The sequence below is a fragment of the Homo sapiens genome, chromosome 14 (genome assembly GCF_000001405.40).
Source record: "Homo sapiens chromosome 14, GRCh38.p14 Primary Assembly".
NCBI classification, from domain to species: domain Eukaryota; kingdom Metazoa; phylum Chordata; class Mammalia; order Primates; family Hominidae; genus Homo; species Homo sapiens.
The window spans coordinates 75,753,810-75,768,220 of NC_000014.9; the positions used below are offsets into that span (position 1 = coordinate 75,753,810).

General features: G+C 37.2%; 1 protein-coding gene across 1 annotated transcript in view; it reads left to right on the forward strand.

Annotated features, from left to right (window-relative positions):
- TTLL5 (tubulin tyrosine ligase like 5) overlaps window positions 1–14,411 on the forward strand; it is a 293,834-nt gene that overhangs the window by 92,564 nt on the left and 186,859 nt on the right. Inside the window, exons 19-20 of the mRNA NM_015072.5 lie at window positions 10,806–10,963; window positions 12,253–12,559. Coding sequence (NP_055887.3) covers window positions 10,806–10,963; window positions 12,253–12,559 — 465 coding nt within the window. The remainder of the gene's footprint in view (window positions 1–10,805; window positions 10,964–12,252; window positions 12,560–14,411) is intronic.

A 14,411-nucleotide genomic window follows, 5' to 3' on the forward strand; every position in this document is an offset into this window, starting at 1 on the left:
TCCCCTCTATGAAAACTTTTACAAGGTTTCTTTTATCTTTAGAGTTTAGATACTTTGCCAGGATGTGTTCTGATACGTCATTTTTCATTATTTTGGTTATGCAGTGAGTGCGGCCTTTCAGTCTTTCAGCTGTGGGAAGTATTTCCCTTATCCTTTCTTTTCTCTCCTTGTGGAATTCCTGTTAGATAAATTTTGGCTATAACCTCCATATTTCTTTACTGTTTTTAAACTTTTGGTTTTGCTTCTTAGCCTTAAATTCTTGGAGATTTCTTGGATTTTGTCTTCCAAAACTAAATTAATCTTCAACCATATCTATATTGTTATTTATTTCCCACACAGGATAGGGGTGTTTAATTAAGTTTTTTATTTTGGCAAGTGTGTTTTTAATATACAAGAACTATTTTTGCTTTTCGATTAGTTTTAGTATTTCATGGATGTAATGTCTTTTCAGATCTCTATTTTAGATTGTTTAAAGTTCCTTTCTGTTTTTTGCATTATTTTAATTCTTCTGGATTAGTTGTATTTATTCATCTTATTCTTTCTAGTTTTAACTTCTATATATCTGCAAATGTATGGTGATCTTTGTCCAGTCATATTTAGAAGTAATGAACTGTTTGCTTAAGACAGGTAGTTTGCTTCACAGGTTATATAGGTCTGTTTCTGAACTGACATGGACACTGCACTTGAGGCTGGATCTTTCTATACTTGAATTTCCCAGGAAGGGGAAGGAGGGCAGAGTAGGCATTCTGGGGACCACTGCATTAGCCAAAATGAGGAAGTATCTGCCTAGGAGTAGCAAAAAATAAACAATTTGAGGTATAATAATATGTGTGCCTCTTTGTTAACATATTAAATAGTAAGAGCTAGCAGCAGATCTAATACCTACCGTAATTTCAAACAGTGATAAATATTGACAGTATTTCAAAATAGTTGTAAGAATTCTAAAATAATATGAAGAAAGATGCATTATTTCTTTTGGTAATGAAGTCACATTAATCCACTACTGTGGATAGTTTCCTACATTTATATGGAGGAAATGCTAAATTTCAGTTAGAGGATGTAAGTTTTTTTCTATCCAAGTTTGTATATTGCCTGCATTCTTTCTTGAGGCCCCAGTTAACAGCTCCTGCTTATGAAGCATTCTAAAAACTTTGATTAAAAAAAACATAATTTGGCCAGGCGCGGTGGCTCACGCCTGTAATCCCAGCACTTTGGGAGGCTGAGGTGGGCAGATCACCTGAGGTCGGGAGTTCGAGACCAGCCTGACCCACATGGAGAAACCCCATCTCTACTAAAAATACAAAATTAGCCAGGCTTGGTGGCGCATGCCTATAATCCCAGCTACTTGGGAAGGCTGAGGCAGGAGAATCGCTTGAACCTGGGAGGTGGAGGTTGCTCTGAGCTAAGATCGCACCATTGCATTCCAGCCTGGGCAACCAGAGCAAAACTCTGTCTCCAAAAATAATAATAATAATAATAATAATAATAATAATTTTCCCTGTTTAGCTAAGAAAAACCCTCATGGTCTACCCATGCTTACCTTTTTAGCCTAATTGTCACTTTTTCACACCAACTGATGGCCATTTCTACTTGCTCTTTTATACATCCATATTCTTACAAACTCCCCTTCTTTTGGAATGGCCTTCAATCCATCCCTAAATTCTTCTAGCTTTGTCCTTCCTCCTCTATCCTAGATTAGAAAGAGGTACTCCCAGCCCTTCTTTTATCCCTCAGTCTAATTTAGATTCCCAGATTGTATAATTGCCTGTTTACTAATTTGTGCTTTCCAGGTTGGCTCTTAAGAGTAGATACTTTGTTATGTTCATCTTTGTCAGTATCAAGAACCTACCACATGGTAGGCACACACACGGAAACATGCATTGAAAAAAATGAGATTGTGTTTGTAGCAAGTCCTAGTATCTTCCAATAAATCTGTTCTCTCATCAGTCTAAATTGATATTTTCCTTCTTGCAGATCCAATTAATTTTGTTATTATTAGGACCATTTTCAAACTAATTCTCTACTCATTTCTTTTAGGTTAATTTTGACTACCTTCCTTACCTTCTTGACTCCTCCCCGACCTACCCACTCTGTTCTGGCAAACAGTATCTTACATACTGTCTTATACTATGGCAGTTGCTTTAACCCTGGCTTATGTCCTGGCCACCCCCCCACCGCCCCCCACCCCCACCCAGAGTGAAGTATTGGTACTTACTAAAAGCTGCCCAGGTAATTATAATGTAAAGTCATGATTGCAAATTACTGGAGAAAACCATTATCTGGGTGAAAAACTTAAAATCATTTTGAGACTTTCTGATGATTACCTGACAATATCAGGACATTAACATGGATAGAAAACATGGGAAAGGAAAGACAAAACATCTTGGTGAAGACTTACCTTTTCACTGGATTTTTCTTTGCATATCATCTACATTGCATTTGTCTCTTTACAAAAAAAAATCAAAACATGTTATGTGACTCTATATAATATTTTTGAAGTGACAATTTTAGAATGGAGAACAGATTAATGAGGCAGGGTTTAAGAGGTATGGGTAGTTATAAAAGGGCAACATAGGGGATCTTCATGGTGATATAATCATTGAGTATCTTTTCTGTGGTGGATACATGAACCTACACAGGCAGTAAAAATGTACTGAATTAAATACACACGTACATAAATGAGTACAAGTAAAACTGGGGACTTTTTTTTTTTTTTGAGACAGTGTCTCACTCTGTTGCCCAGGCTGGAGTGCAGTGGCGCAATCTCGGCTCACTGCAACCTCCTCCTTCTGGGTTCAAGTGATTCTCCTGCCTCAGCCTCCCGAGCAGCTGGGATTATGGGCCCATGACACCACACCTGGCTAATTTTTGTATTTTGTAGTAGAGATGGGTTTCGCCATGTTGGCCAAGCTGATCGCGAACTCTTGGCCTCAAGTAATCCACCTACCTCGACCTCCCAAAGTGCTAGAATTACAGGCATGAGCCACTGCCTAGCCAGAAATTTTTTAAGAGTGTTAAATGAAAGGAAATTGAATGAGAGTGTTTTAAAAGAAAAACAAAAGCCTATTTTAACATGAATAGCACTCAATTTCTGTGGTTAGAGCCCAGTCTTAGTTTAGAGACAATGGAGAGTATCTTTTTTCAATAGAGGTTTTGTTGTTGTTGTTGTTGTTGTTTTGTTTTTTTTGAGAGGAGTCTCGCTCTGTTGCCCAGAGTGGAGTGCAGTGGCATGATCTTGGCTCACTGCAACCTCCGCCTCCCAGGTTCAAGCAATTCTCCTGCCTCAGCCTCCCAAGTAGCTGGGATTACAGGTGCACGCCACCACGCCTGGCTGATTTTCTGTATTTTAGTAGAGACAGGGTTTCACCGTATTGCCCAGGCTGGTCTTGACCTCCTGAGCTCAGGCAATCCCCCTGCTTCGGCCAGCCAAAGTGCTAGGATTACAGCTGTGAGCCAATGCGCCCGTCCTTTTAATAGAGATTTTTTTTTAATTGTGGAAAATATATTTCTGATGAGCATCCCTTTTGAACCCCATGAGAATTGAGCTTGGTTTCTTTTCCTAAAACAGTTCAGTGAAAGTAGAAAGAGCACTACAGTTTGAGACCTAAGCCAGAGGCTCAGATGTAAGCCCTTTAAGCTCCGGCCATGGCAGGTCAAAAAATTATTTTATCCTGCTCCTTTCTATAAATGGAGCGAATTAACAACCTTCTTCACATGGTGGTTGTGATGAATAAGCAGTTTGCTTTGTAAATAGATAAGCAAGTACAAATAATTATTATAATTTTTCTCTATAATTTGTCCTTTTTTGTTTTTTATTGATGTCCCTCCAGCTCACAGCACTCTACTCTTTTATGAGAATGTTCTCAATTTATCTGTCTGCTTTTCTGCAAAGATGCCCTCCTTGGCCTAATGTCATGTTGAATTTCTGTATTAAAAATTTCTGGAGTGCATGTGTGTGTGAACTTAAGAGAGACTACCTGAATAGCATTCTCTAACCCGGTTGTCCTTTCTGCTTCTGTAGGGGAAACCCAAGAAGAAGCTTATTGACAGGAAGAACACGGTAATTGACTTTTAAAAGTTGAGAAATGCTTTCCATGTGCATAATGTGTGACCATGCACAGACTAAGCATAATACCTTATATAACCATTTTTAGTTTGGTTCAGCTTGAATAGTAACATAAAAATTTTTTCTATTGAAAAAGTGTTTTGTCGCCACTTTTTACAAGCTAAGTTTGAGATTTACTTCACTATAACTACAGGTATACTATTCTAACTGAAGATGGTATTCTCGTTTAGCTGTGTGAGAGAGAGTATTAATGAGATTTTGAAACTACTGTCATGTTAGATTCAAGTACAGAGTTTGTGTTTTGGCCTTGACATACCTGAGGCACACAGCTCTGTGCCTCATGGTACAGAAGAGAACCTGTTTCTAGTTTGCCACAGAACTGAAAGTATACAAAACACCTGTGGACTTTCATTTAGGCAGAGAGCCCTTTAAAGCATAAATCTAATTTTTCTTTAAAGAAGGAATACATTATGATTGCCATTTAGTTAAGGGAAAACTGAGATAAATCAAGTTTGTAGCTTGTTTCCAAATAGAAAGTCACACTTGGTGTATAAGTTTTCTCCAGTTTTGAGTCAAGAAATATGCTTCCTATAACATACTGCTGTTAACTTGGAAATTGAGAAAAAAGAAAAAAATCTTAAACATTAAGAATAAATGAAGAGCACTGAGTTCTGTTGTTCATTTTTTGGCACTCATTTTATATTGCCATCAATAGGGATTTTGGGCCCTGTAGAGGTGTAAGCAGATGCAAGCTGGCATATGATAGACCATATGCTGGAGCATGAAACAAGTCCTAATATATTTAAAAGGATTAAAATGATACAGAGTATGTTCTTTGGCCCCAGTAGAATTGAATATCAATAACAATAGAAAATCTTCACATATTTGGGAATTAAACATTTCTAAATAATCCATGGGTAAAAGAAGAAATCATGAGGAAAATTAGAAAATACTTTGAACTGAATGATACTAAAAATATGTCAAGATATGTACGCTACAGCTAAAGTAGTGCTTTGGGGGAAATTATAAGTTTAAATGCTTACCTTGGAAAATTGAGGACTGAGATCACTGTTCTAATGTTTGTTTTAAGAAACTGAAAAAAGTAGAGTAACTCCAAAGTAAGTGGAAGAAAGGAAAGGCAGAAATCAAATAAAAAACAAACAGTAAAGAATGTTAACAAAATCCAAAGTGTGTTCATTGATAAGGTAGCATAATTGATAAACCCTTAGGTAGACTGATCTAGAATAAAGAGAAAGGACACTAATTACCAATATCATCAGATAGAAAAGAGAGGATTTCACTATAGATTCAACAGACATAAAGTGGATGCTAAGGTGCGGAAAAAGGATATTAAGGCAATATTATTAGCAACTTTATTCCATTACTTTGACAGCTTAGTTGAAATGACAATTCTTTGTGGTGGTGGGAAAGTTGGGGGCAACACCCAAACTGATACCAGCTGAAGTAGAAATTTTGAAAAGCCCTGTATCTGTTGAGAAAATTGAAATTGTCCTGAAAAACTTTCCTATAGAGAAAACTCCAGGCTCACTGGTTTCACTATTGAATTCTGTCAAGCATTTGAGGAATAATAACACCAATCTTATACAGATTCTTTTAAGAATATAGGAAGGGACACTTCCCAGTTCATCTTACGATGCCAGCATGACTATGATTCCAAAACCTGACAAAGACATTAAAATAGAAGAAGAAGAGAAAATTACAGGCTAATATCCTTCATGAACATAGACACAAAATTTCTTAATACTAGCAAATCTAATCTGCCATTATAAAAAGGATAATACATATGACTGAGATTTTCCCCAGTATTGCAAGGTTGGCTTAACATTTGAAAATTAGTCATTGAAATTCACCATATTAATTACAGGGGAAAAACTAGATTATCATTTCATTAGATATCCCAAAAAAGCAACTGATGAAATTCAGCACATATTTATGAGAAAAACTCAGCAAATCAGAAATAGAAGGAAACTTCATTGATAAAGGCCTTATATGAAAAACCTCTTGCTATCATCATATTCAGTAAAATATTGAAGGCTTTTTCCATATGATTTGTAATAGGGCAAGATGTCCACTCATACCACTTTTATTCACGTTGTACATTAGTATAGTAAAGCAAGGCAGTGAAAAAAGAAATGCACACAGATTGGAAAGGAGGAAGTAAAATGTCTATTTTTGGATGACACGATCAGGTTAGTAGAAAATCCTAAGGCATCTGTAACTACAAGAACACAGAAGTGAACTTAGCAAGGTCTTAGGATACAAGATCGACATACTAAAATCGATTGTATCTTAATGTACTAGTAGTAAATAATTGGAAAATGAAATTTTAAATTATATTTACAACAGCATTTGAAAATATGAAATACTTAGGAATAAATTTAACAAAACATGTTCAATACCTATACAGTAAAAACTATTAAATATTACTGAAAGAAATTAAAGAAGACCTAAATAAATGGAGAGATATGCCATATTTGTTGATTAGAAGAATTCATATAGTTAAAATAGCCATTTTCCTCAAATTGATATAAAGATCCAGTGCAATTTCAATCATTATTCTGGTAGATTTTTTTAAAAGGAACAGACCAACATTTAAAAATTTATATTCAAATACAAAGGACTCAGAATATCCAAAGTAATCTTGAAAAAGACTTAACGTACTTGACCTAAATACTGTAATTCTACAGTATTCAAGATATTGGCAAACTGATCACATTGAAACAGAATAGGAAGCCCAGAAATAGACCCACATTTATATGGTCAAAGTAATCCAATGGTGAAAGGAAATTATTTTTTAAAAATGAGGATGGAACAACTGAATATCGTATTTTTAAAAATGAACCCCAACCGCTGTTTCCCATAGAAATTAGAGATGATTCATAGATACAAAAATGATTACTATAAAACTTATTGAAGAAAACATAATATCTTTGTGACTTTGGGCTTGGCAGTGTTTTTAGACATGACACAGAAAGCAATAAAAAACAAATAATGTTATATTTTCTCAAGATTAAAAACTTCATTATAAGATACTGTTAGGAAAATGATTTGGCAAGCCACTGACTGAGTGGAAATATGCATCAAACATATCTGTCAAAGGATTGATATCTAGGAACTATCAAGAACTCCTACAACTCAATAATAAAAAGACCATCAACCCAATTACAAAAGGATAAAATATTTGAACAGACACTTCAAAAGGAAGATATATGAGTAGCCAATATGCTTATGAAAATGTGCTTAACAACATTAGTTATCAGGGAATTACAAAGTAAAACCACGTTATACCACTGAACATCTAGCAGAATGGCAGATATTATACTGACAATACTAAATGGTGGTAAGGATGTGGAACTAACAGAACTGTGATAAATTGTCGTTGACAGTGTAAACTGGTACAAGCACTTTAGGAAGAGACTGGCAGTTTGTTAGAAATATACAAATTTCACTTTGAGATCTACACAGAAGAAATAAACATAATCACAAAACAGCTTGTACAAATAGGTTCATAGTAGCTTTATTCATAATGCTCCAAAACAGGAAACAACCTAAGTGTCCAACAACAGAGCAGATAACTGTGGGTTATTCAGACAGTGACCTACTGCTCAGAAATAAAATGGGATGAATACTGACACACACAAGAGTGAATCTCAAAAGCATGCTGAGTGAAAGAAGCCTTATACAAAACAGTTCATACTGTATGGTTTCATTTTTATGAAATTCTGGAACAGGCAAAAGTAATACATGATGAAAAATTTACAACAGTGATTGCCTTTAGGACGTTAGGGAAGGATTGACTGGATAGGAGTGGGAAGGGGCATGAGAACTTCTGAGTTGATACTAATATTAAGAGTTTAGGTTATATAGCTCTAGGCATTTGTCAGAACGCATTAAGTGGACATTTAATATTTGGATATGTCACTGTATGTAACTTTTAGCTTACCCAACACAGTTCTATAAAACAATTATTGAACTCTAGATAGTAATGATATGCATGTTGAAATGTTTATGAGCAAAATGTACTGATGTCTCTAACTTTGAATTGCTTTAAAAATTAGATAGACTGATGGATGAAGGATATATGATTGGATATATACGTGACGAAACAAAATATAGTAAAATGTTAATTGTAGAAACTAGGTGGTAAGTAGGTATATGGTTGTTCACTGTACAATTCTTTAAACTTTTGTTTAAATATTTAAAAAAAAAATGTTGGGGGCTGGGCGTGGTGGCTCACACCTGTAATCCCAGCACTTTGGGAGGCCGAGGCGGGTGGATCACGAGGTCAGGAGATTGAGACCATCCTGGCTAATACGGTGAAACCCCATCTCTACTAAAAATACAAAAAATTAGCCAGGCGTGGTGGCACATGCCTGTAGTCTCAGCTACCTGGGAGGCTGAGGCAGGAGAATTGCTTGAACCCAGGAGGCAGAGGTTGCAGTGAATCGAGATGGCGCCACTGCACTCCAGCCTGGGTGACAGAGCAAGACTCCGTCTCAAAATAAATAAATAAATAAATAGTTGGAAAAAGTAAATGAAAAAGATGTAGCTAAAAGATATCCAACTTATTTTTAGGAAATTCAATTGTTTGTTAATTAACCAATATTTATGGCAAGTCAGCTGTGTGCTGGACAGTCTCATAAGCATCTAGGATACAGTGATACAAGACAAACATGGTCCTTGCCCTCATAGAACTATTATTCTGGCTTATCAGATTCATATTTTACCCAGCATTCCCTATCCTCTATCCCTTGTACTATTTAGGATTTATCTGTTTATCCAGGGTCTCTTGGTTCTTAGTTGTTATTTTAAAATATCTTTAGAGAAAGAGATTTGTAGTAGCTTCTCCATATCTGTGAGCTTTTAGCGTTCATGTTTTCAGAAGTTTATTTTTTGAGTTTTTGTTGATAAAAAGAAATCTTTTTTTCCTAAAGAATGGAGTTCTTGACAATGTAGACGGTATAATGTAGACAATATAAACTCTTGTTTATATAATGAACAGTGGTTCGTGAACGTAAACACTGGGCTTTAACTTATTAGGGTGTTGAATTAACTTCCACTCATTTAATTAGGATGATCTCAAACATTAGATTGTCTCCAATCACATTAAGTTTTTAAGAGACACGTCATTGGAGAGAGAGTTTGTGTGTTTATGAGATAATGATGTCGGTGTTAAGCTATGCCCATGTTTGTCCATATAGTTATCAAATTTGACCAAGTTTAAAAAAAAATACAAAATTGACCAAGTTAGCCAGACATTATTGAATAAATGGTTTAAATGATTTTATCTTTCTATCAGATTTGTTTTATTTTCTTTATTATTGAATTGGCTAAAAGTTTATTTCTATAGCTCTCTCTCTGTGTGTGTGTGTGTGTGTGTGTGTGTGTGTACTCTTTGGGACTCTGATAAAATACATTGGAACCATTTTTAAAGTTCATTGATTTGCTTCCCATTTCTGCTCCCAGTGCCAGGACCTTCCTGTTTTTGGCTCTTTGTCTTACTCTGGAGAGAAGGCCTCCAAAAGACTTACCATCCATTCCATCCACCCAGAAATCCCTATCAGAAAGGTCCTAAATAGACCAAATGACACAGCCTTTTTATTATACTCAGAGACTGAAAACTCCCAGAGGAGTTAGGATGATTTCTTGACCTCAAAGGGAACACACTTTGAGTTCTAGAGAGTTCAGAGCCAACCAATTAGATATTGCGTTTGAGCGTAGAGAGTTGGCTACATGCTTTCAGTCACTGATATAGATACTGCTTTTCTGACCTGGTGACCCAGAGCCCTCTCTTTGGTGACTTGGTTATGGCTGCCTCTCTTGTATTTTGCTCAGTCCTTGTCTAGACTGGGCCTCATATCAGTCACTGCCTGATTTGTGATTTGTGTTACTTTAATGCCTAATGTAGCTGGTGCCAGCCCCCTTTCCACATCCCATTTCTCATTCTTGACTTGATGTATTTAGCCTTGTCCTATCTCTGCTGCCTTCCCTTGTCTGTGCCTCTGACTGTAACTCCAGACCTGTACTTAACGCCTGTAAAGTCCCTGCCACCTTGCTCCACCTTCTCCTGTATATAATCAGGATCTTAAAGGAGGGTGGGTGCCTTGGCATTTCCTCATGTTGGGATGCTTGAGACTTGGTGAGTCCCTAGGGCTTGGTGACTTTTCACTAAGACACTTCTATGCGTCTCAGTCAACTCGGTGCTCCCTCACGTATTCACAGATCATCAGCCTTTGTTCCCCTCATCTGAACCTCTGCTAAATCCATATTGTTTAGATTTTATATACATTCAAAAGAATATTTATAAAATGCTGAGTAAGTTATAATGGGTAGAAATGAAACAAACACCATTTGCCACCACTCAACTTAAGAATTAAGATATTGTCGTTTTTAAGGTATAAAGTATTTTAAGGTATAAGGTGTTGGGTGGCACTTTATAATCCCTGCAGTAAAGTAATAATCAGTATCACTGAACACTTAAAGGTCTTAAACATTGTCTTTAGCTGCATATTTTTTTAGAACATTTAATAAATTCAAATGGGTCACTAGTGAGGTTTTAACGTAGATTCTAGTGTTCCTCTTTATCTGTCAAACTTTTAGAATTCACTTGAGTTACCATGTCCAGTATGTCAGCATTATGGAATTCTGGGAAGCTTAGCCTTGGAATGAAGGAGAGAACTTTCTGAAGGCCATAGCTACCATGTTGCTTTTCCCCTAGAATGACTGCTGATGGAGCGCCAGAATTGAAGATAGAGAGTCTGAATTCAAAGGCCAAGCTGCATGCTGCACTTTACGAGAGGAAGCTCCTGTCTCTGGAGGTGCGAAAACGTAGACGACGGAGTAGCAGATTGAGGGCAATGAGGCCAAAATACCCAGGTACCTGCTGGTGAGCTTTCACCAAACTCCCTTATCTGGATCCTGCCAGACTGAGTTAACCAGCTGCTTACTCAGTATTTCATGAGTCAGAATCTTCCTGATCACATACACCTTTTTTATATAGTTTTTTCTCTGAAACTTAATTTCAACAAAGTCTTAAGTTTTTAAACCTTCCACTCTATAATATTTGTATTGAAGACTATCTGAAACACATACATTTTGGCCTTTGCTCTTATGTCAGCATCATACAAATACCTGATACTCTAGAAATAATATTAGCCTGAGTTTAATGGAATCCTGAGCATTACTGTTCAGGTTTTTTATAATTAGGTAAGTTCAGTTCATTCTTTAACATTGCTGAATGGCATAAGTATTTTAGATAAAGTGGAATTTCTTTCTCTCCTAGCTTCTACAATGTTGTAGGTCTGTTTATAATTGACTGATATACTGATTTCCTTTTTTTCTCTCCTTCCCTCCTGTGAACGTCTGTGTCAGGCAGTGTGTTAGTCACTGAGGTTTTGCTGGTAAATAAAAAAGATATGGTCTCTGTCCTCATAGAACTTACAAGGCGATAGAGAAGGATAATGAATAAACATAGGATAGAAAGATATTCCCCTGTTCTTTATACCTCCGTGAAGGGTGCTTTTTAAAAAATCTCTAATACACTGTAGAAATTACTAAGCCAAGGGTTTTTTGTTTTTTTATTTTTATTTTTTGCCTTAAGTTGTGAGAGAGTGATGATGAGAGTATGATGAAAAATGTATACTTTAATGAAGATTATTAATAGGTTTTAGAATATGTAACATTAGGCCAGGCATGGTGCCTCATGCCTGTAATCCCAGCACTTTAGGAGGCCAAGGTGGGCGAATCGCTTGAGCCCAGGAGTTCGAGACCAGCCCAGGCAATCTGGCAAAATCCTGTCTCTACAAAAAATACAAAAATTAGCTGGGTATGGTAACATGTGCCTATAGTCCCAGCTACTTGGAAGGCTGAGGTTGGAGGACTACTTGACCCCAGGATGTCGAGCTGTAATGAGCCGAGATCCTGCCACTGCCCTCCAGCCTGGGCAACAGAGCGAGACCCTGAATCAAAAAATGATAATAAATGAAAACAAAAATAAATAAAAGAATATATGAGATTAGAGAGTGACATGTGGGTGCTATTAATTCTGTGCCTTGTTTGTGGTTTGGTTTAGAAATGGGCTTTTACTAAAAAGAGAAAAGGAAGGTATTGGGAGAGAGGAACATTTAATCCTTTTTTCAGCAACATTAGTGATTCTTCGTATTTAGTGATTACCCAACCAGCTGAAATGAATGTTAAAACTGAGACAGAGAGTGAAGAGGAGGAAGAAGTCGCATTAGATAATGAAGATGAAGAACAGGAGGCTTCCCAGGAGGAGTCTGCAGGATTTCTTAGAGAAAATCAAGCCAAATATACACCCTCATTGACAGCTTTGGTAGAAAATACACCCAAAGAAAATTCCATGAAAGTTCGTGAATGGAATAATAAAGGTGGACACTGCTGCAAACTTGAGACTCAGGAGCTAGAGCCTAAATTTAACCTGATGCAGATTCTTCAAGATAATGGCAATCTTAGGTATGTATCTTTTATAATTATATTAGTAAAACTGATAACAGCTAACTTGTACTGTGTACCAGCTACTATTTTAGTGGTTTTACAGTCATTTTTCATTTAATATTTACAGAAGTCCTATGAAATAATGACTGTGATTAGATACTGTTATTATTAAGGAAACTGAGCCTTAGAGAGGTTAGGTAACTTGTCTAAGGTAGAGCTATGATACAAACCCGGGTCTCATTGGTTGGGCATTTGTGTCAGTCACTGAGTATAAGGTAACTGGGACAAGGAGCTCAAGCAGCTCGTCGTTTAGTATCAGAGACAGAGAGCTCAGGCCATGGCCCCACTATGAACAAAGTGGTCTTAGGACACAGAAAAAGAGTGATTGGTCTGGCTTGGGAGGGCTAGAAAGGCATTATGGATGAGGGAAAATTTGAATCAGGCCTTGACAGATGAGTAGGGTTTCAGGAGCTTTGGGAAGTGATGGTTAAATGTGGGAGTGCTAGGTAGAGGCAATAAAGACGTAGAGGTGGCCAAGCTCAGTGTCTCACACCTATAATTGCAGCACTTTGGGAGGCCGAGGTGGTCGGATCACCTAAGGTCAGGAGTTCGAGACCAGCCTGACCAACATGGAGAAACCCTGTCTCTACTAAAAATACAAAATTAGCTGGGTGTGGTGGTGCATGCCTGTAAGCCCAGCTACTCGGGAGGATGAAGCAGGAGAATTGCTTGAACCTGGAAGGTGGAGTTTGCAGTGAGCCAAGATTGTGCCATTGCACTCCAGCCTGGGCAACAAGAGTGAAACTCCATCTTAAAAAAAAAAAAAAAAAGACATAGAGGTGTGATAATACAGTCATTCATTAAGTCCCTCAGTGAGTTTTTATTGAGCACCTGCCCTATGCCAGTTGTGCTAGGCCATATCACATTACTGTGGGGACCAAGATAGGCCTGGAGTTTACAGTCTAGTGGGGAAGAATGACAGTTAACAAAGAAACAAGGTCATTTCAGGTCGTGAGAAATGCTGTCAGGACAATAAGATGGTGTAATGTTAGAATGTAATTGGGCAGAGTTACTTAATTGCAGTGATCTGGCATGAAGAGGTAACCTTTGAGGTAAGTCCTGAATGATGAGGAGTCAGTCGTGTGAATAGTAGGAGGCAGAATACTCCCAGCAGAATAGCAAGTACAAAAGCCCAGACATCGTAATGAGCTTGGTGTGTTTACAAAATACAGACTAGAGGAATTATATAAGGAGAAGAGCATGGTAAGAAATGAGACTAAAAAATTGGATGTTGTTAGATTGTGAAGGGCCGTAAGAGGAGCCTAAGCTTTATTTTCTAGATGACTTTTAAGCAGATAAATGATACGGTGAGATCTTGTTTTAGAAAGTAAATCGTGCTTGCATTGTGGGATAGTGAAACTAAAGGCAGGGGGGTGAGTTAGGGACTGTTAGAATTGTCCAGAGCCAGGAAGATGAAGGCCTTGATCAGAGTAATGGCTTTAGGAGTGGAGAGAATGGGATGGACTTAGTAAAATTTGCAAAGTAAAATTGATGAGACTAAGTTTTTCACATTTGGAAACTTGGTGGTGCCTTTGGTCAATATAAGGAACATAGGAGTTGGTTTCATGTTAAAAACAATGAGTTTGATTTAAGATGTAGTAAGGAAGAAGGGTTCTGGGCTAAAGTCCAATAGACAGGTGGACAGCTTTGTTGATCAAGGTTGAACAGGATTGTATAGTTGGTAGGTAAAGTCTTGCGAATGGATAAGATTGTTCACAAATTTATTTGGTTCAGCAAGGATAAAAAAAGAATTGAGCCCTGGGGAATACCACTGTTCAATGGGTAAGTCAGTAAAAAGGTCAAGATGTAG